At 37.4% G+C, this 23653-nt stretch overlaps 1 protein-coding gene across 5 annotated transcripts in view, besides 1 other annotated feature; it reads left to right on the top strand.

Annotated features, from left to right (window-relative positions):
* The window catches only part of SEMA3D (semaphorin 3D), a 254691-nt gene that overhangs the window by 44398 nt on the left and 186640 nt on the right, over positions 1 to 23653 (top strand). For 3 of the 5 annotated variants that reach the window (NM_001384901.1, NM_001384903.1, NM_001384902.1), the window contains exon 3: positions 14058 to 14199. The gene's annotated coding sequence lies outside the window, so the exon portion shown is untranslated. Of the gene's footprint in view, positions 1 to 14057; positions 14200 to 18789; positions 19169 to 23653 lie in introns of those variants that run through there. The other 2 variants (NM_152754.3, NM_001384900.1) reach the window with 1 other exon arrangement.
* Positions 18919 to 18978: a silencer, noted in NCBI's record as "silent region_18338". NCBI's record gives its function as "represses an Ori minimal core promoter by ATAC-STARR-seq in GM12878 lymphoblastoid cells {active_cell/tissue: GM12878}" and the evidence as "EXISTENCE:reporter gene assay evidence [ECO:0000049][PMID:35858748]".

Here is a 23653-nt window from a genome sequence, read left to right as displayed (position 1 = left end):
TGGGCCTTATGAAATCAAAATATCACTAGTTCCAATTACAGACTTTAATGAAGAAGCTAACAGGGCAAGCAGCACCTACATGGATAATGCATATTGTTCTGGAGGACAGAAGAAGCTGAAGACATCACACTCCAGGGCTTTGGTACTTAACTGCTGCTGTGAGGCTACATAAGCACTAGGTCATGATTTAGGGGAAAGAGGCAAAAGAAGGACAAATTGTCCCAGGGTTTGATTTTTTTTAATCCAAGAGACTGAACACTTCTTAAAGGAATATTTTAAATTATTGATTCTAACTAAGGGATGTCAAGGGAAAGGAACACAGAAAATGGTGGGGTCAAGAAGAAGGAAAAATAGAAAGTAAAAAGGGAAACAGAAAAAAATTAAAGGACACTTTTTAAATTGACAAATAATAATTCTACAAGTGTTATGTGGTAGAATGATGTTTGATATTTGTATAATGATTAAATTAAGCTAATTAGCGTATCCATCACCTCATCTACTTACCATTATTTTGTGGTGAGAACATTTAAAATCTACTTTTTAAACAATTTTGAAATAGACAAATGTATTCTTATTAACTACGGTCACCAAGCTGTTAATAAAGTGAAGAAACAACACATGGAGTGGGAGGTAATATCTGTAAACCATATTTCTAATGGACTAATTAGTGTATACAAGGAACTCAAACACGTCAATAATGAGAAAGCAAATAGTTCAAGTAAAAAATGGAGAAATAATCTAAATAGACATTTCTCAAAAGAAGACATATGAATGACTAGCATATTTGTGAAAAAAATGCTTAAAATATCTAATCATTAGGGAAATGCAAATCAAAACCACATTGAGATAGCATCTCACGTATATTAGAATGACTTTTACCAAAAAGAAAACTTATATGCTTTAATTTTTTCTCTAGCTCCTGATGTTACTATTTATTAGGATATTTGAAATATATCTGAGTTTATTTCAAGATATAGAGAGTTCTAAGGAAAACTGTAATGGTGTGTTGGAGTTCTTACTATATTTGGAAAGAATGGAAGTCAGAGTGATAATAGGAAAAATAGGATGCAAGAAGGCTGGTTCCTAAGGCTAGAGGAAGAAAATGAGTCAGACTGGGAAACACTGGTTCCAAAGATCTCTGTACTTCTAAAAGCCTCTATTCAGTACCCTCAGCTCCCTTTTAGCTTGACCACTGTGCAAGAAGACTCTCCTTGTTGATGAACATAGTAATCAACAATATGGAAGGGAGTAAGTTCCCGTACCTATCATGAGCCCGTTTCTCATCATCCTACACTGAAAATTAAGATGGTTCCTCACTAAAATTGTTATTACTTAGTACTTAAGTTTAAGCTGATTTACACTGGGTTGGGCCTGGAGGACTAACTGCCAGTTAAAAGCTGATTCTACGAAATATTATTGTTTAAGTCTATCTAAATCAATAAATGACATTGGAAGGCTATTTTTAAGTGGCAACAGTCTGGTGCTTTTTTTTTTTTTTAACTGTATTAGATCAATAGCTGCAGTTTAAAAGGTCTATTCATTCAAGTTCTTTGGTGTAATGCTCCTTTGATTTCAAATGCCTTTTGCAAGTTGGAAAAGTCCTGCTCTCATATGACTAAGGCAGAAAAGGTCAATTAAGTAATAGTCTATTCTGGTCGAGCAAGAGTCTCTTCCTTTCCAGTGTTACACTATATATTCATTTTTAAGAGCTCAAAGCTTTTTAAAAGTGTTTTTTTTTCTTATAAATTAGTAATATAAAAAGTAGTTATTTTAAAATCTGCTTTCACATTTTAATCTAGAATATATAGGACATGTAATTTTTAAATATTTCTCATACTTGAATCTTCCCCTCATTCCATGGGTCATTGCTTGTGTTCAGATCTTTGTTACCTTGGAATATGGAATAATCTCTAAGAAGCATTTTTTTATTCCAATATCTCCCACTTCTAACATATGGTATTGGCAGATTAGCCTTCTGAAAGAGAAAAGCATTGATATTACTACTAGGTTCAAAGTTTTTGTTTTTGTTTTTGTTTTCCCCCTGTATTTCTCTAGCTCAATCTGTAAAGTCCTTGCTTCTTTGTCAGGCATCCACAACCTTCCATAACATCTTCCACATCTACTTTTACAAACTTGTTTCCTACTGTTCACTTTGATAGATCCTCATTCCAGAAAAATTGCAAATTTTCAGATTCCCTTTAACACTGCTGACATTCTCACATCAGGAGTTGCTTCACATGAAATATTTTTCAGGAAATAGCCTCGCCTTGCAACCTCTTCTACCCACACAGTTTCCAGGTGCTTATATTTTGTTCATCCTGCAAGATCTTGCTCAAAAGCCCTGTTAACAATATTCTATTCATATAGTTAAGCCTGTACTCTATTCTGCACAATGTTCGGTTGCATGTTTTTCTTCTGAACTCCAATAAAACTTTATCTTTAGTCTCTTTTAAAATATTATTTTTGTATTCAAAAGAAATGGAAAAACTTCAATTCTAGTTAAATCTAACACTGCCTCTAATCAGTCTATAAACACATGCAGCTAAGCATATAACATGTTGTAAGAATATATTTACATTTTTACAATAAATTAAGACAGAAACACACAAGATGCTAACTTGCTGACTACCACACCCACACTCTTCTGGATATCTATCGCATATTTCTGCTCTCTGCTCATTACATCCTCTCCAATCTTCAGCTACTGAGCTTAATCCCATATTTTTGAGAAAAGAGAGACAATATGAGGAGAACTGCTGAAATCTCATGACAAATCATCTACTTCCAACCTGCTTTGCAGGCACGTAATTCTGTCCTACCTCATTTTACCACAGATGAACTGTCTTTCCTGTTACTATGAAAACGTTTCAATTTGGTATTAGACCTCACCCTCTCTTACCTATGCAAGAATATCATCCAGAAGTTATTTCCCAGTTCTTTAGAATCATATAGTATCTTTTGTTCTACTATATAGTTTTCATCAGTAAAAAACAACTTAGTGCAATTGTGTTTAAAAAAAAAGAGATTGCCATTCTAATTGGTGTGAGATGGTATCTCACTGTGGTTTTGGTTTGCATTTCTCTGATGGCCAGTGATGTTGAGCATTTTTTCATGTGTTTTTTGGCTGCATAAATGTCTTCTTTTGAGAAGTGTCTGTTCATGTCTTTCGCCCACTTTTTGATGGGGTTGTTTGCTTTTTTCTTGTAAACTTGTTTGAGTTCATTGTAGATTCTGGATATCAGCCCTTTGTCAGATGAGTAGGTTGCGAAAATTTTCTCCCATTTTGTAGGTTGCCTGTTCACTCTGATGGTAGTTTCTTTTGCGGTGCAGAAGCTCTTTAGTTTATTCACGATAGCAAAGACTTGGAACCAACCCAAATGTCCAACAATGATAGACTGGATTAAGAAAATGTGGCACATATACACCATGGAATACTATGCAGCCATAAAAAATGATGAGTTCATTTCCTTTGTAGGGACATGGATGAAATTGGAAATCATCATTCTCAGTAAGCTATCGCAGGAACAAAAAACCAAACACCTCATATTCTCACTCATAGGTGGGAATTGAACAATGAGATCACATGGACACAGGAAAGGGAACATCACATTCTGCGGACTGTTGTGGGGTGGGGGGAGGGGGGAGGGATAGCACTGGGAGATATACCTAATGCTAGATGACGAGTTAGTGGGTGCAGCACACCAGCATGGCACATGTATATGTATGTAACTAACCTGCACAATGTGCACATGTACCCTAAAACTTAAAGTATAATAATAAAAAATAATAATAATAAATAAATAAATAAAAAGAGAGAGAGAGACAGAGACTAGTGTGATAGCTCATGCCTGTAATCCTAGCATATTGAGATGATGAGGTGAGAGGGTCACTTGAGCCTAGGCATTCTAGACCAGTCTGGGCAACACAGTGAGACCCCTTCTCTACAAAAAATATTAGCTATTCCTGGTGGCACAAACCTGTAGTCCCAGCTACTCAGGAAGCTAAGGCAGGAGGATGGTTGAGTCCTGGAGATCAAGGCTGCAGTGAGCCCTGATTGCATCACCGCTCTCCAGCTCCAGCCTGGGAGACAGAGAGAGAGAGACCCTCTCTGAAAAAATAAATAGATAAATAAATAATGGAAATGAAAAAGGAAATCCTACTCAGTTCTGGGTTTCCATAGAATAGTGGCAATTGAAAGCTTTCCTCACAGCCTCTAAAAACTCCCAAAGAACAAGAGGGAGCACACACAAAACCACTCTTAACTGAGATCTAGAGCTTAACTAGTAGATATAAATTACTAAAATCTCTAATTTACATATAAATAATAAAATAAACATCCCAAAATGAGTAGGGTCAGATCTGGAACCCAAGCTGAGGTTAAGATTAAAAAGGAGATTGAGTAGAAAGGAGATGGTGGTGAAGCCTAGCAATAGCAGGAAACGTTAAATGACTCAAGAGAAAGAGTTCCACACTTAGTGGAAGTTACTGAGAAGAGTCACAGCATGGACTACTGGGGAATTGTAATGAAGGGGCTTAAAAGTGTAGGCGATCAAAGCTAGTAGTTTTCAGAAAGCACAGCTTCTAGGGAGGAGGCATTCCTTGGAAATTGGGGCTGGCAAAAGAGAAGAGAGCAAATGGTGGAAACCAAGCATCCTATGAAAACAAAAGAGAACTGCAAAATCAGAAGACCCATTAATCGTTTTCCTCCCCTGAAATGAAGACAGACATTTATGAATAAAACTGTCTTTTGGTATATCAAAAGAAGAGGATACTGTGGAACAAAGAAACTTGAGAATCCACATACCCAAACTTCTCTTACAAAATTACCTATTATTGCTGGTCTAGGCAAATATGAGACAATTCAAAGAGAAGAGAAATTAGCAAAGATAGAATAAAATAAAATCCATATACAACTGTGTATTAGTCCATTTTCATGGCCTGAGCTCTACTGTGGCCCCTTTCAGCCACAGCTGAAGTGGCTGGGATGCAGGGCCCCAAGTCCCTAGGCTGCACACAGCATGGAGACACTGGGCCTGGCCCACTAAACCATTTTTTCCCCCAAGCCTCCTGGCCTGTGATGGGAGGGGCTGCCCTGAAGACCTCTATCATGCCCTGGAGACATTTTCCCCATTGTTTGGGCAATTAACATTCAGCTCCTTGTTACTTATGCAAATTTATCCAGTTGGCTTCAATTTCTCTTCAGAAAATTGGATTTTCTTTTCTATTGCATTGTCAGGATGCAAATTTTCCAAACTTTTATGCTCTGCTTCCCTTATAAAACTGAATGTCTTTAACAGCACCCAAGTCTCCTCTTGAATGCTTTGTTGCAGAAAATTTCTTCTGCCAGATACCCTAAATTATCTCTCTCAAGTTCAAAGTTCCATAAATCTCTAGGGCAGGGGCAAAATACTACCAGGCTCTTTGCTAAAACATAACAAGAGTCACCTTTGCTCCAGTTCCAACAAGTTGCTCATCTCCATCTGAGACCACCTCAGCCTGGACTTTATTGTCCATATCCCTAACAACGTTTTGGGCAAAGCCATTCAACAAGTCTCTAGGAAGTTCCAAACTTTCCCACATTTTCCTGTTTTCTTCTGAGCCCTCCAAACTGTTCCATCCCCAGCATGTTACCCAGTTCCAAAGTCACTCCCACATTTTTTAGTATCTTTTCAGAAACACCCCACTCTACTTTTAGCAACTTACTGTGTTAATCCACTTCCATGCTGCTGATAAAGACATACCTGAGACTGAGCAATTTACAAAAGAAACAGGTTTAATGGACATACAGTTCCACATGGGTGGGAAAGCCTTACAATCATGGCCAAAGGCAAGGAGAAGTAAATCACATCTTACGTGGATGGCAGTGGAGAAAAAGAGAGAGTTTGTGCAGGGGAACTTCTCTTCTAAAACCATCAGATCTCGTAAGACTCATACACTGTCATGAGAACAGCGCACCTGCCTCCATAATTCAAACACCTCCCATTGAGTTCCTACCATGACACATGGGAATTGTGGGGACACAGCCAAACCATATCAAACTCAGTGGGAAAAAAAGCAGAAAATGAGAATGAACAATTTTAGCTGATGAAAATCATATCTATTCAAAATTAACAGTATCAACAAGAAAAAAGTGAAGGATAAAACAAAAGATAAACATTTTCAAACTGGCTCATAATCTAGAACTCAATTATATGCTGAATGCATGGGACAAATTTAAAATGGTGTGATTCTAAAAGGCTAAAAATAAAGGAATGGGTGAAGGTGTATTTGAAAAAGTAAATAAGAGAAGATAGATTGGATTTCTGATAACAGACAAGGTACAGTAGGTCAAAAGGCATTAAAAGGTATACTTTATAATGCTAAAGACCACAATACACAATATTATGAATAGCTAAACAACTAACAAAACAACTAGCTTTATATAGTAGAAACTACAAGTGATGCAAAGGAAACTGAAAAACACTAAATGCAGAATACTTGAACACACCATTCTCCATACAAAAATCAAGTAGAGCAAATAATGATAATAACGATAATGTTAAAGAAGACTTAAGCAACATAATCTTATGCAAATATACATGGTAACAGAAAAATGCCTTAATCTCAAGTGCACAAGAAATAGTCATGAAAATTAAACATATATTTGGCCCTTCAAATCCCCAAAATTACCATGAATATTACAAGCAATATTTTCTCACAGAGCTACAATAGATTTAGAAAATAACACAATTAAAAACTAGACATTAAAAATAATAATGATGTCTCTTTATCCGGAAATTTAAAAAAGAACTTCTATTAATATACAGGAGAAAGAGGAATTAGGAAATAAAAATCTGAAAACTAATGTTAACGAAAACACTACATTTGAGACACTATTGGTATAAAGTAGTAATCGTAAGAAAATGTATGGCTATTTACATTTTTAGTAATACAAATAAAAGAAGGAATAGGATTGAAGTAAATTTTCCCAAAAAAGTTAAAGAACAAATAGAAAACCCTTGAAAAAAAAAAAGGAGCAAAAAGAAAATAATTAGTGGACAAGCAAAATGTTAATAAATTTTAAAAAAGAAAAACAGTTAAACCAGTTAATAAAAAACTTTAAAAACAATTAAAATAATTATTAGATAACCAAATTAAAACATAAAAGAAAGAAAACATAAACCTAATAAATTACAAGTGGTAATAATTATGGAAAGAAAAAATTAAAACATTAAGTGACTCTGCCCAACAGTATGCAAATAAAATGATGAACCTAAACAAAATAGATAACATTCAAAGGAAAATATAATTTATCCAAATTTATCCCAGTAGAGATAGAAGGTTATACTTCTACAGAAGAAATAGTTATTAAAAATTTTCACCAAACCTTTAAAACCAAGCTAATCTCAATTATATAATAGTATTCCTGAATAATCCCAAAGGATCCATGATAAAGGTAGGAAAACAATAAAGTAATTCCAAAAGTTTGCAGAATATAAAACTAACACACAAGAATCAATAAGCTTTATATACAAAAACAATATTTAGTGAGACAATATAATGAAAGAAAAGCCTTACTTATCAGTATCAGTGATAAAGTTAAAATACCTAGTAATGATATCATTAAGAAACAGACAAAACCTGTACGGGAAAAAGCTTTAAAACATTTTTGAAAGACAAAAAGGAAACTTGAAGAAATGGAGTGAAGTTGTTACTATTGGTTTGGAAGAGTCATATCAAAAAGAGTCAATTCTCCTAATCTTGTGGGGTTATTTTTTATATGAATCTTAGCATCAATTTGTTTATTCCTATAAATGAGAAGGCTTTGTATGGTGAAAACCATAAATCATACTGTGAATGTGTCTGCTTTTAAGGACTACTAATTTTCTTAAAGACATGTACATTGTTGGTGTAGTTACATCTATTTTTGTTGCTGTATAACCTTCTTTTGATTATTGGATTTTGCACAATATATTCATCCATTCTACTGTTGAGAATAATTTGAGTGATTTCTAATGTGAGGCTATTTCAGAGAGTGTTGCCATGAACATTATTGTCCATTTCTTTGTTGGAAATATATTTCTTGGGCTCTATGAGTAGAATTGCAGGGTTATAGGTTATTAAAACATTTAGTTTTTAATCTATACTGCCAAAGGGTTGCCAATGAAAAGAGTCCAAGTCTGTAAAATATTTTAAGAGATTTATTCTGAGCCAAATATGAGTGACCATGGCCCATGACACAGCCCTCAGGAGGTCCTCAGAACATCTGCCCAAGGTGGTCGGGGTGCAGCTTGGTTTTATACATTTTAGGGACACATGAGACATCAATCAAATTCATTTAAGAAATATACTGGTTTGGTCCAGAAAGGCGGGACAACTCAAAGCAGGGGTGGTGGGGGTGGTGGGGGTTTCCAGGCTATAGGTAATACAGGTAAATTTAAACATTTTCTGGTTGAAAATTGGTTGGGTTTATCTAAAAACCTGGGATCACAGAAAGGAAACATTCAGGTTAAGATTTGTGGAGACCAAGGTTCTTTTGAAGTCTTATAGTGGCTGCCCTTAGAGGCAATAGATGCCAACTGTTTCCTATTCAGATATTTAAAAGGTGCTAGGCTTTTAGTTAATCTCTTTAGGATTGGGAGGGCCTGGAAGAAAAAGATCTAGCTATGTTAATAGAGATTCTTTCCAGTTGCAAATTTTCCCCCACAAAGGACAGCTTTGCAGGGCCATTTCAAGATATGGCAAAGAAACATGTTTTTGGATAAAACATGTTCATTTTTTTCCTTGTCTTGTAATGTTATGACAGAGTCAGGTTGGGAAGTAAGTCACAATATACAGGATTAAATTAAAAAAAAAATCTGATGAGAATTTATGATTTGTAGGGCATGACTCCCCAGACCTCTTAAACAGGAATTTGGGCAAGATAAAAAAATCAGAGTTTAGTCCTCAGGGTTTTCCAAAGTGGTTTTACAAATATTTCCACCCACAGTACATGAGAATTCTGATACTTCCATCCTCAGTAACTATTGGCATTTTGTCTTTTTCATTTTAGTCATTTTTGTGGGAATGTAGTAGAATCACATTGTGGTTTTTATTTGCATTTCCTTGATCACTACAAAAGTTATTGGACTTTTGAATATCCTTTTATAAAATTTAAAAAATATTTTTATGGATCTCTAATAGCTGTTGAATACCCCTTAGATGAAAAGTCTTTTCTAGTCTTTATTCCCTGTTTCTACTAGGTTGCCTTTTTCTCATTGATTCAAGTAAATCCTTTACATATTCTGCATATGTAAAGGATGTGAAGATATATGGATTGACAATAACTTCGCTCACTCTGTGGCTTGATTTTTTACTTTCTTAATTGTTTCTTTTGATGACCAGAGTTATTAATCTAATACAGTCCAATTTATGAAGCTCTTTCTTTATGGTTAACATTTCTGTGTACTGTTCAAACTACCTTTTTCTACTCTAAGCTCATGAAGATATTCTTCCATGTTTGTTTGTTTGTTTGTTTGTTTGTTTTCTAAATGATATTGTTTTTCCTTTCACTGTTAGATCAAATCCCTCTGGAATTATTTTGTTTGGGTGTGAGGTAGGATTCTAGATTCACTTTTATTATATTTGTATTACGGGTCTCCAATTTTCCTTGAGCATGTCAGTTCATTTTTACATTCAAAACGTTAATGCATGCATTCTATTTGGAGAAATGTTGCGGGGGAAAAAGCTGCTAAATTTTCTTAATATTTCATTCATCATTCTATTCTAAAACTATTGATTATGTATCTTTGTCTCACAAATTTTAAATAGCATCTTTGGTTATATATGCCATACATTTTGGAATAACATTTTTGAGGTACAAATATTTTATCTCAGCAATTCCTGATTACCTCAGGACTCATCATGCTTTGTGTAACTAAGTGTTCCATGAACTATGTGATCACTTACTGAAAGGAAGACGAAGGAATTGAATAAAACAAAGCCAACTTTCAACTTTAAGATTTCTGAATAGACTTTTTTAAATGCCTAGCAGTATCTCAAAATTCAAGGGTTAGTATTTTCCCAAAAAGTCTCTTTGTTTGTTTTCAACTTTGTAAATTCTAAAAAATATAGTATATGCCATAAAAAAAGAGTTAAGAAGGACAATAGGTGAAAAACCAGACTATCCCTACTCAGGGCTATATGAAGTTTGACCATTCTGGGAAAAATCAGCGCTGAGTTGAAGAAGTAAAATAATTAGTTGAAAATTAGCTGGGTGAGGTGTCCCATGCCTATAGCCCCAGCTACTCAGGAGACTGAGGTGAGAAGAGTGCTTGAGCATGGGAGGTCGAGGCTACAGTGATCTGTGACCATGACACTGCACTCTAGCTCTAGCCTGGATGAGAGAGCGACTCAGATTCTGGGTGACACTGTCTCAAAAAAAAAGAAAAAAAGGAGAAAGAAAAAGTTAGATTAAAATATGGGTTTTCTTCAGTTTCCCAATGTTTGGCAAAGTCTGGGGATTATAGAATATCCTGTACCTTTGGTCAAGCCTACCCCACTGTATTTATGGGGTACAACTGTGAGGCTGCTAGCTACAGAGGCCCAGAAGCAAGGTACTAATGTCCTTTACTATCATTTAACCAAAGGAACCTAGTGTTTAAAATAAGGGGCAGAATAAGGGGGATTTTTAACTGGATGCCATAACTAAACTGTAGGTATTTCACAGATACAATGGGAAAACAAGATAAATCCTAGCAGGCGGCTTTGTATTCATCTTAATGTATGCCAATGGAAGAAAGAAAATGTCTCTAAACAAAAAATGCCCTTCATTCCTTTTGTGGGATGAATTGTGACCTCCACCAATTCATATGTATTGAAGTCCTAAACCCTAGCACCTCAAAATGTGACTGTATTTGGATATAGGGTCTTTAAAAAAGTAAGTCAGGTAAAATAGATCATATGGGTGGAACCTAATCCAATATAACTGATGTCCTTATAAGAAGAGGAGATTAGGACACACACACACGAAAGATGATGGAAAAACACCAGAAAAGATGGCCATCTACACACTAATTAGAAAGAACTTAGAATAAACTAACCCTGATGATACCTTGATCTTTGACTTATAGCCTCCAGAAATGTGAGAAAATAAATTTCTCTTGTTAAGCTACCTGCTCTGTGTTAGTTATTATGGCAGCTCTAGAAAACCAATATACCTCCCTTCCACTCCTAGATTTATTTAAGCCCTCTTTGAATTTAAATGCTACCATTGGGAGAAAGCAAAAAACTGTAGAACCCTGGATTGAAATATGATTAAAACGTTAAATGGCTGAAAAATCATTGACTGAGTTTACCTGAAAACAATGAAGCTATTTTTTTTTCTGTTTGCATATCAACAGTCAAAAGAAAAGGAAAAAACACATAAAATTTTATCAATAAATACAGAAAATGGATTAGACGAAATCCAACACCCATTCATGATGAAAACTGTCAACAAACGAGAATAGAGCAAACTTCCTCAACTTGATAGAGCACATCTGCAAAAATCCTAGTGCTAACTTCATACTTAATGGTGAGAAATTCAAAGCTTTATCACTAAGATCAGAAACAAGCAATGCTATCTCCTCTCACCACTACTTTTTAAAAAAGTACTGAAACTCCTAGCTAGTGCAACAAGATGGGAACAAGAAATAAGAGACAGACTGATAGGTAAAGAAGAAATAAAACTATCTTTGTTTGCAGATAACATAATCATCTACTTAGAAAATCTGAAGGAATCAACAAAAAAACTATCTTGGAACTAATGAGCATTATAGCAAGGTTGCATGGTATAAAGCTTATCTACAAAAATTAATCACTCTACCAGGCTTTCTACTTTTTCCATTAAACCCTTGGCATACTGATCACAGGTTTTTAAAGTACCTAGTCTGATAATTCCAACATTCCTGCCATATCTGACTCTGGTTCTGATGCTTGCTCTGTCTCTTTAAACTGCGTTTTTTTTTTTTTCCTTTAGTATGGTTTATAATTTTTGTTGTTATTGTTGAAAGATGGGCATGATATACTATATAAAAAGAACTGCAGCCATAAAATTTTAGCAATGTAGTGGTAAGATCCAGAAGAAGAGGAAGTATCCTTCAGTGCTATGGTTAGGTCCCAGTCTTTTGTTAAACTTGTGCCCCTGAACTGTGAACTTCATCATTGCTTCTCAGTTTTGTTTTGTTTTGTTTCCCCCTCCATTATGTGGGATAGGATGACCAGAAAGGGCTGGAGTTGAATATTTTCTACTTGCAAAGTGGTAGGCTAAAGCAGGCTGGCTTTGAGTATATCCCTTCTCCCATGTTACTTAGGCTCTGATAAAATCCCAGCAGGTTAGACGCTGGTCATATAGTTTCTGCTGAAGGTAGCTTTGCCAACGAGAACAGAATATTCCACAGTATTTTTAAATGATTATTTTCTTTCTCTCTCCCTGCTAAAGGCAGAGGGGACATTTTTTTCTTGATACTTCTTGTGAGGACCAGTTACAGCTCCAGGATGTAAAGCTCACAAAAATGTAGGGATCATCCTTTGTTTGGGTCTCCCTGGAGTGTTTTAATCTCAGACTTGTCCACTCCAAGCCTCCATTAACTTGTGAATTTCCATGCAGGTTTTCCCACCTGAAGAAAGTTCCTGTGATTTTTGTCCTGGTAAATTGTGATTCTGTGTCCCCCTGTCTGTCTCTCCCATTTGGTGGACAGAATTTGCCCCATGAGCTTATTTCTCTGAGCGATCCAAGAAGAACTGTTGATTCATCATTTTGTTCAGTTTTTTTACTTCTTGTTGGGATGAAGTGCTGGCCGCTAAGCTCCTTACATGCTGGACTGAAACCCAGAAGTTAACGGCTATGTTATCATCTTTTGTAATTATCTTCTTTTCTTAGAATTGTAAGTTTTAAATGTAGTAAAAGTAGAGATTTTTAAAAATAAATGGGTTATCATAGACTCCTAATGTAGACTTTCTTTTTGACAAACTCAAGAATAAAAGTTGGAAAGTAAAACTTTGCTTGATATAAGGAAAAGTAATTTTATTGAAGTGGCAAATAGAAAAAGAATACAATTTGTTAATGGTATTATGATGACACAATATTATTCACTACATTAAAATGAAATTAAAAGTCCTAAACTCTTTCGTGAATATTATTTCCAAATAATTCTAATGAAAGTACATCAGTGCATCAAAGGTCAAAATGTTCACTATACTAAATAGGCTTAAAGCAACATGATTCTATGTTACTGTGTGCCTTAGAAAAGCAGTAGCTCCGACGTTAAATTGGGCACTTTGAGAAGTTGCATTTATTCTTTCTGATTAGTAAGATAGAATTTGGTCTAGTTCGGTAGTAACTTGCTAAATTAAGGGTGAAGATTAGAAGTGCCCTACTAGCTCACTTAATGAACAAAGGAATTACAGTCAGATGGTAAATATTTTATTTTTAAGTCGCTTAACTTTAAGTTTCATTGTCTGTATAATAATAATACTAAAAATAATAATAGTTATTATTATAGAGTTGAACTAAAAATTTAGCCACCTGGCTTGTTTTAAGCCTTTGACATTCACTTAGTTACTAAGTTACTTAAATGACATTTTGTATGAAAGTCATTTTCTTGATCAGAAACTGTTCCCCACTAAACCCATTTTCATTTTTGTTGTTTTAGAAAAACATGTTGGGCATTTTTTGTAATATTATAAAATTAATTATATCTGCAGCCCACAATATGTAACACACTTTTTACATCCTAATTTCTGAGTAAAGTAGGGCAAAAGGAGATAAAAATATGCAAGAATGAAAATCACTATTATCTTAAATGCTTTATTATACACTTCACTTTTCATAGTGGAAAAATAAACATGTCTTACAGTCAAAGAAATAGTAGAGGCACAAATATAGTAGAAAAGCAAATCATGAATTTTCTCCCATTTGTGGAAACTGATGGTTTAAGTCTATCCAAAACAAACCTCAATATTTAGCAAAGAAACTCTATCTAATGCATTTATTTGGAAGGGATTTTGATAATATCTATATAAATTTATGGGTTATTTTGGAAAATCTTCCTTTTCAGGGATACTGATTTCACTGTGGCTAAGCAGCTGCTTATGACCTTGAACAAAGCAGAAGTGTTGGAATGCCTTCCTGCTGTCTGTATGGACCTGCTCTTGCCAGTTACTGCACAAAGAAATAGTTTAATTCCACTTGGAATACAGGTATGTCTGGGTTTCAGGAAATAATAGAGTACTGTTGATTAATTGTGAACCAGAACAAATAAGCCACAAGAGGGCATATTTTTCTTTATTTCGTCACTCATACACAAATAAGGCTTGCCTCAGCTGGGTATCACAGGAATTCCCTCCTCAACCTCATTTTCTTAGAAGAATACACTGTATCTAAAACATGCTGTAAGGGTAGAATGGTGGTAGTATGAAAGTATTTTTAAAAAGAAAACTTAAAGATGATTTTTTATATTGTGCATAGGAAAGTTGTTTATTTTTCCTTAAAATCCTTCCTTGGGGATTGTTTATTGATATAAGTACATTGTTACAAATCAAACACAAAAAGCCATTTATCTGACTAAATTATCCCAATCTGCAACAACCATATAGACTCCTATATCAGGCGTGGAAAACCGTTCCAAATTCTAGTGAATGTTGGTAGTCAAGAAGGATTTTCTTTTCTGAAGTCTCAGGATTTGGGCCAAAGAGGCTGGACTGTGTTTTTATTTTTATTTTGAAGCACATTCCTGCTGAACTTAATTATTCACCACACCCCAACCCAGCTAAGTAAATATAGCCTTAAGATTCTGGCTTGGACAGTTTTGAAAAATAGCTGATTTTTTTTTCTTTTCTTTTTTTAAGAAAAGTCTCTATAGCAGGGTGAAATATTCTACAGAGGGCATCAAGTCAGAAGTCATAAGGAGCTGAGTGATAACTATGTCTTCCTTGGCCCTGGTTTCCTTGTGTCTAACATGAGGGATAGAAGGTTTTGAGGTGTCTTCTGACTATGAATGTTTATGATTATTTATGATTTTATAAGAGTTTAAAACTTAAAAGTATGAAGCAAAGTTTGGACAGTTTTACATACCAATTAACTAAAGATAAACTGTTTTCTGTCTTTATCTGATGATGAGAAGCAGGGATGCATTTACTTCTGAGAGTTCTATGTATTATAATTAATACAGAAATAAAAGATGAAAGTCAGGTGTGTTTTTTTCCCCACCATTAAACACATCAGATGATTTTATAATGTAAATATCTAATGATCCAGTGATGAGTGTATTGCTACGATCAAATGAAATAGATGGAAAAAAATACCTGGAGTTTATAAGAAGAAAATAGCTAATAGAAGATAAGGGGCTGGGTGAGCTGCTTTAAACTCATGCACTCACTTGTTCCAACTAGATGTAACTTAACATACACGCCGATTTTCTTGGATGAGGATAACAACATTTCTTATCAGTCAGTGCTGATAAGGTGATATATGAGAAAACGTTTATAAGGTGATATTTATTATAAGACAGAGAGGTTTTCTGAATGACTAAGGTATGACTAGTTTTAGAGAAGTAAACATTAAAATGACATGCTTTTTAACACAATTTTTCTTGTTTGCCTCTGTGTATAAACTTTGAGGTCTCCTTCATCAATAATTTTCTTTCAAATTCACCAAATTTTCATTTGATTTGTGAATATAAAACTGTTCAGAGAGAACTAGGATTGTAGATTTTGTTGGTTTTAGTATCTTCTGCTGAGAGGACAGCCAAATCTTCTGCTAGATTTAAGCTCTGGACCCAGTAATTACCTTTCTCCTGTCTTCTGTTCAGAGGTAGCTATATGTGGAATTGGAGAAGCCTACAATATGTCTATTCTACCCTAACCCATCCCTGCTGCCTTCTCCCATGGCTCTCAACATAGATGGATGATTACTGAAATTCTACAATTAGAATTTTATTCTTTGGATTTGTTTGGCATTAAATGTGATCCTTTGAGAAATAGTGTATTTCATATTGCCTAACACATATTACTACCATAAAATGAAAATTACTTACTCATATTATATTTGTGAGCCCAAATAGAGATGGGTGAGGAGTAGTATGTCTCAGAATAGCCTAGATTCTCAAGGCACACAATTTATTTATTCAATAATGTTTCCAAGAACATGAAAGTTATTTGTTTTCTTTCCTTTTTCTTTTTGTTTGTATTTTTCCCCTTGGACTGAAACAGGCATACAAGCAACAATTAGGTGGTTTTAACTGATGATATACACATCGCTTTCAGTGAAATTAAGGCTCACTCGTTAAATCTTGAATAGTCACCCTTGAAGACAAACTAAACTGCACAATACACCTTGTATTTTAGCAAAACTTTTTGTAAAATATACTTTTTTTCCCACTGGGTTTTATTTTAAGAATTTAGATAGGGTATTAGCCCTATAGGACAGAATACCAAATTGCTTTTGATGAAAGTAGATCTCAAACTCTTAGAAAGGGTTGTTAAAACTATCTTGGTGGGACCCTATACAGTTATTAGAAATTCAGAAATAAATCCAGTGACTGAATATTAACATTATTTCTACTGTTTTTATTAACTCGTTTAACACACAAATATTTGTTAAGCACCTAACACATTCAAGACATTCAGGGAAGCAGCCTGAAGATTACGGAGCCATGGACACAGCTGAGGCCATTCATCACATTGGGCAACATATTAACAGTTGATTCCATCTGCTTTGTGCTCAGAGTCATTAAAAGGAAGGAAAGCACAGAATTCACGTTCCAGATGTTGTTTTCTCATGATATGTTCAGGATACTCTGGTAAATTCTGTCTAAATTTGAAGTCTGAGCATCTCAAACTAAATCAGTACAATACAATGTCACAGGCATTGTATTAGAGGCTGAAGAAACAAAGACACAAAACAGCCAACACTTTTGTATGGGATGCAGACACATGCATAACTAATTATAATATAAAGTGAAAAGAGCTTATTATAGTAGTGAAATCAAAGTGCTTTGGGAAAACAGGAGGGAGTGATTAATTCTGTAAGGGCTTTATGGAAAGTATTGAATGGTAGCAAAGGAAGGTGTCATTTGGTTTAAGCATATTAAGCTACAACTTAAAAGAGAAAGGAGGAAAATGGGAAATCCAAAGTTAACCACAATTCTAGTTAAACACAAAATTCTGGCCAATAAACTGACAAAATTATTTAAAAGTTTAAAAATAGAGATTTTCTAAAAATCAAAAACTACTTACTATAAACCCACCATATACGGGAGAAAAAAAGAGATATTTTATTTGCACAATGACATTGCAATTTGCATGGAAGTGCAATGACATATACAAATGAAAATAATATAAACACATAGAAACATACAATAAACAATTGCATGACTATGTACAGAATGAGTGGTATAACATTAAATATAAAGCATTCAGAAAAAAAATAAAAGTTGCTATAGTTTGAAATAGTCTACGAGGATTTAAAATTTTTTTCTCTATCCAAAGAGGGTATTTATGGGGTTGATTGGTTGTGAGTCCAAACCAAGGTTATAGAGATGGGGCAGCATGAGACACAAGAAAGAGCCTTGGTCAGATTTGAGAAACCTGAGCCTTTCCTTAGCCTGACTCTGCCATCAACCATTTATAACTTAAAATGACTCCTTTAGCTTCTGTGGCCCTCAGCCCTCTGCCACAGATAAAAGGTCAAATGAAGAATGTCTTCCACCCCTTTCAGTTATTCCATTACTGCATTTGTCTGTTCACCATCTCCAAATCAAGATATCTCTTGTTACTTGCTAAGGAAGCTTTGGGACCCTACACCTTGTGCTCTTAAATCAAGCTGACAAATGCAGGATCCCGTGGCTGCTTGCTTTCCATGTCTCTACCTCATGTCAGATTTATGTTTGGGACTAAGGGCAAGGTGTGTGACTATAAACCTGGATATCCCATCACAAAGGATTTACCATGCAGCTAAAAATGCCTAACGTACAGGGCTCACCAAATGCACAGGCCTTTTTAATGTCCCTGACGGTGGCCTCATGAACTCTCATTGTCATATATTTTTGCAGAATCTGTAGAAGTGAGATATTTCTGCATTACTTTTGCTTAAAGAGGATCCTCTATTCCAATTGCATAGGATCCAGGTTCATCAAAACTTAGATCTTCTCGTCATTATATACTTCTAAGTTCCTACTGTGTGAATAAGGGGTGCAAAAATCTAAAAAACTCCCGAAGACAAGGATATGAGGCACACCTCTTTGTAGGTCTGGCGTAAGGGAAAGAGGAAGAAAGGATTACATTCTACTCGTTTTTATCTCTCCCTGTTTGGTCTTAATCGGGTGCCAGCCCCTTAACGGAGGGTTGATCCCTGTTCCTCATCCCTATGCCTGCCTTGTCAAGGCCATTAACCGTGGATTGAGGTTTTACATAGTGGAACGCAGGTACTGTTTTGTGGGATTAGCATTTTTAGGACGGTGTTTGTGGTCACTCTCCCTGTTTCTTCCTCATGGGGTCCCTTAACAGGTTTTATGGTATAGAGAAGGAACTAAAGAAGTCCCCAAGTCACCCAGAAGGAAGATCAGACGTTAGAGGTTGCTTTACACATAGGGTGCCCTGTCCTGATAAACATCCGTCAGCGCTTGGCCAGGGCTACCTCTAAATCCACGCTGCTGGCAGCCTCCGCGCAGCAGGGATGAACTTCTGCACGCTTGGGAGTTCTGGCGTGCGCAGTGGAAGGAGGGGGCGAGGGCTGGGGGAGGAGATCGGAAGGGGAAAGGTAATCCCCGGCGTTTTCAGCATCCTCTTTTTAGAAAGACTGAGTCTCTCCCAGGACAGCTGCTGCGGTCACACCACAAACTTAAAAGCCGCCCTCCTGTTTGGAGCGTGCCTTTCCTCGCCACCCTCTCCTCCCCAAAGCTCCAGCTGGTGCCTTGCTCTCCGCCTGTCCTAGCGCGGCTCTCGGGGGAGGCAGCAGCGCCCCCTGCCTCCCGGCCTGGCCCCTGCGGCCGCAGCTTCCCGGCTCTGCCAGGGCTGCCGGCGGCTCCGCTTGCTCAGCCAGGGCTGCGGCTCAGAGGAACGCGCGCCGGTGCCCCGGGTTGCCGCGCCGCTGGACCTCAGCCTGCATCCCGTTCCCCTCTCCCTGAAAAGGCACCAGGAAAAGAGAGAGGGAGAGAAGAGTTCACAGCAGGTAAGTCTGGTTTGGGTCACCTGCTACTCCAGTGGGAGGGTGTGCTGGAGACCGCGGTGCTAAGCGGGGATAGCCGGGATTTGGGGGTGGCTGTGGGTCCGAAGTGGAGGACGAGCATGGTTTGGGAGATAAGGAACCGTCCTGAGACAGAGAAGGCTCCCGGGAGCGGACAGAGAGTGGGCGAAATCGGTGCGCAGTAATCGCGGCGCCAGCTTCAGCGCGGCCCCTGGGGCGCAGTCCCACCCCGCCTCAGCAGCTGCGGAGCCTTCTGACGAGCCTCCGCCTGGCAGCACTGCACAAAGTTTTCCTCCTGAGACGCGTCCAGGAACTTTGCTCTCTCCCTGGCTTCCTGGTTCCCCCACCACCCCTCCTGGTCTGGGCAGCAGAGAGCGTCTATGAATGTGTCCCCGGCTTCCGCAGGCTGCAGGTTCATTTGGAGACGCTTTAGTCGGGAACATCCGGGGAGTACTTGACCAAAGGGCATCTGCGCCCTCGCTCGCTCCTTTCCTTGTTGGTCTGGGAGAAGGGAAAGGGGCAAGGAAGAAGGAAGGGAAGCGTGGTGGTTTTTGTTGTAGCGTTTTGGAAGAGGAATGGGCGACGCCTTTTTCTTCGCCGGGGAATCGCGACGTTCCGTCTGATGGAAGTGTGCATCCTTTTAGATTTAGAGGGAAAGTTGGAGTCAAACAGCAGCCACAAAGCTGGCTGTCTGAAATGTGGTTAAGGCAAAACACTCGGGGGATCTCTTTGTAGTAGTGGGCTTGGCTCGCTTTGGAAAGGCCGGATTTGACTCGTGCTGGGCATTTAACCAGGAGTGCGGTCCCCAGGGTGTTTCCTCCCGGCTTCTGCCCAACGAGCCTGGAGTTAATGCGTTAATGGGCTACCCTGGTAGCGCACGGGCCGTTTTCGGCACTGTTTCTCCTTCTCTGATGACTCGAGTTCAACCTCCTGGGCTGAGTTGCTTTGCCTCCGTCACAGTGCAAGGAGGGAAGTTGACAGGAGGAGGAGACGCCGCGCTGTGGCAGGGAGCTTTGGGATCCAGGGGACTGGAAGAGAGCCGCGCGCCAGCAGCTGGGGCCGCTGGTGTCCGGGATTCCGAGTTATGGGGACAGGAGTTAAATAGCCGAACTTTCAGCGATTTCGCCTCGAGCGAAGCGGTAATAAAAGGCAAGCTTCTGTGCGTGGACTCTTATTTCATCACCAAAACCCCACCACTTTCCGTTTAGCTTAGTGCTATTTGCACAAGCAAAAGAAGAGGGGAGAAGACCTAAACTTTCCGGTTTAGCCTAAAAAGGGTTCTCCTGCATGTGTGCGCTAGCGGGGGATGGCGGGGTGGGGGCGCGCAGAGACGAGGGGGAGGATCTCCTAACAGAGAGGGAAGGGTTGAGGCGGAGGTAGAGGAGAGGTCTGAGACATCTCCTGGGTCTGGTGCTGCTGCTATTGTGTAACCATGGCAACCGCGGGGGCAGGGGTGGTCAGAGCCTTCCCAGTTCTGCACGTGGAAAGAAAAATGTGAAGGGCAGAGAAGGGAGAGAGCCACATGTCATCACTCCAGTGATGCCTTGCCTTCTCCTTTTTGTTCTCCTTTTCCTTCTCCTTTTCCTTCTCCTTTTCCTTCTTCTCTGAGGCCAGATAGCAAGGAGGATGAGCAAGAAGACACACATGTCATCACTCCAATGATGCCCTCCCTTCTCCTTTTCCTTCTCCGAGGCCAGACAGCAAGGAGGATGAGCAAGAAGATCGGGGTTGGGAGTGATCAGCCCCAGCTGGCCACTGCTTTAACCCAGTCGGGTCTTAGAGTCTCTGAGACTCGCCCCAGCGGATAAGACGGGTCAGGGGTGCCATCGCTGACAGGCGCAAAGTGATGGCCCTGGTCAGGGAGATGGGCAATGACCTTGGCTCTTGGAAGGGAAAGGCCAGGAAATACAGGAAGGTGATGTGGGACGAGATAAGAGTAGGGTCAAGGGCTGACAGACAGTAAAACAGTACTGATTCGAATTGCCAAAATTTCCAATGGAATTTGCCCAATTGTGAAATGGAAAGTTCCTAGAGAAGGGAAGAAACATTTATCAAACACCTATTGTGTTTCAGGTGCTGTGAACTTTATCACAATTAATATCCTCAACAATATGATACAAGTGTCATTATTCTCTTATTCTTTTCTTTTTGAACAGAAAAGAAAAAAAAAACAAAGACATAAAGATTTATAAATGGGTATTGTCCCATTTTGGCTTTTATGTTCTTAATGAAGAACCGTAATTCTTAAAAAAAAATTGTATTGCTGGGGGAATAAGCTAGGTAGTTATTATTTTAGAGATGATAATAAATGAGATGCAAAAATGTTGCTTGATGTGCCCAAATATAAGCTAGTAAGGGCACGAACTGAGATACGAACTGTTTTACCTGGGTGTGGGTCTCCTTTCAGAAACTTCAAGAAAGTTGTCATGACCCCACTTAATGGGAGGGCTTTCTAAGGTCAGTTATGATGCTGTATCTGTATCTGTTATCATTTACATGTGGAGAACACTCAAAATTTTAAATGCAATTCATGGTTGAGAATGAGAATGAACCACATCAAATCGATAAGCCCAGAATCGTATGTATGTGATATTAATGATCTATTCATACCTACAGGTTTCATTTTCCTTTGTAGGAATTATTAGTTTCTTTAACAATGTCCGTAAAGGAAAAAAAAAAGAAAAAGAATTTATCAAACAGAAATCCCATGGTTGTATTAAGAACATTTCCTGAGATTAGTTAGGTTTTCCTCAGTCTACTTATTGTCCTCATGACCTGAATACCTAAAAATTTACTTCGTATTTCAGTACCATTGGTTCACTTTTGTAGTTCACTCTGGTTACTTTCCTGTTGATGTTCTGAGATGGGAGGTTAAGAAAAAGTATCTGGCAATGTAAAATGTTTTGGAATTATCGGGAAACTATCATCAACACTAGCAGAAACTAACGATAAAAGATAGAAAAGTAATTGCTGTGGCTTTCTTTTGCCTTTCACCAGAATTGCCTTCATAGGTAAGTCTTTACTAATGATTTGCTTTATATTTTGCAGAGGAAAAATACACAAAGAAAAACTGAATTTGTAATCTCTCTTTTATGTGTGGGGAAGACTAGTAAGCGTGGGAATGGGAATTATTTTTGGTGGCAGGGAAGGTCAGGAATATGAACAACTAGAAAGGCAGAGGAAGCATATCTTCTACTGTTTCCGACAGGCTAACAGACCGGACTTCAGGTTTGAACTTGAGTCACCAAGCTGATTTACTCTCACATATTTTTCTTTTCCAAAACTAAAAAGGATATTGCTTGGGGTTGAAGTTAAATTAATTCAAGAAGTTTCATAGTCTCCAGTTATTCTTCATACTGTGCTCTCAATCCATTGCATGGATATTTGTTAACTATCAAAAGGGTTATCATAAACCAGAGGTGTCTCTGAAGATAACTTCGGGGGTTGGCAAGCATCTCTGTGTCTCAGTGTCTGTTTACTGTGTTAACAAAGCTACTGGGCTAACTCATTACTATTTTTATTATGCCTGTGTAATATCAAATTCTCAATCTCAAGGGGAAGACATTCTGACTGGTGCTAGTTTAATGAATATTATGTCTTCGGGTTGTTTGTTATAACTTCATTATTTTGGAAAAGCAAATGTTGACTCTGAACTTTGCTGTTCTGTCTGGGCGGTTCAATACATTGCTGACACATGTTCCTTCAGAATCATCCTTGTCAATTAATAAATAATTTTCTTCATGAACAAGAGTAGCCATAGGCTTGTTTTGAAAAGTTATTATTATTCTTCCTCTAAACATCTGGAGTGGTACAGAGTACTTAAGTAAAGTAGCATTTCAACACTCCATAACATAATCCTTGAAAGGAGAAACAAATATTCACATTTGTGGAATAAGTCATAATAACAATAATAATAATGATGATTTACTATGGGCAATAACATTGATCACATTCCTTCCCACCTCAAAATGTGGTTTTAAAGCAATTCCCTTTCTCCAGGAAACATGGCCAAAATCCTTTTTAATTTTTATACATTTGCCATACCTGTCAAGCTAATAGTCTATTTTCAAACATTTGTATTCTTTACTTTTTCTGTTGTTATGATCTCTTACTAGGTAATAAGAATCTTGAGGGTAGGAATTTGTCTTCCCTAATTTTTTATACCTTCATGTTGTTCAATGCTGAACAAATTCTAAATACTATTGAAGTATAACCAATTGTTTAAGTAGGTAATAGTGATCTTGAATCTTTTTATTGACTGTAAAGTCAAATTAAAGATTTTGGAGTTTATAATTTACTTTCCCTGAGATTTTAGCAAAAAGTGTTATTTCTAATATTAGGGCTTTACCCCTCATAAAAAATTGTGAGAGACTGGGAGTTTTATGATAATGCATAACATACAGGAATAGTGTAATGATCAGATCAGATAGAGTATATAAGAATACTAATTAAAAATTATTTAAAAATTGT

The sequence above is a fragment of the Homo sapiens genome, chromosome 7, assembly GCF_000001405.40.
Source record: "Homo sapiens chromosome 7, GRCh38.p14 Primary Assembly".
NCBI lineage: Eukaryota > Metazoa > Chordata > Mammalia > Primates > Hominidae > Homo > Homo sapiens.
This window is presented reverse-complemented; position numbering and strand designations above follow the sequence as displayed.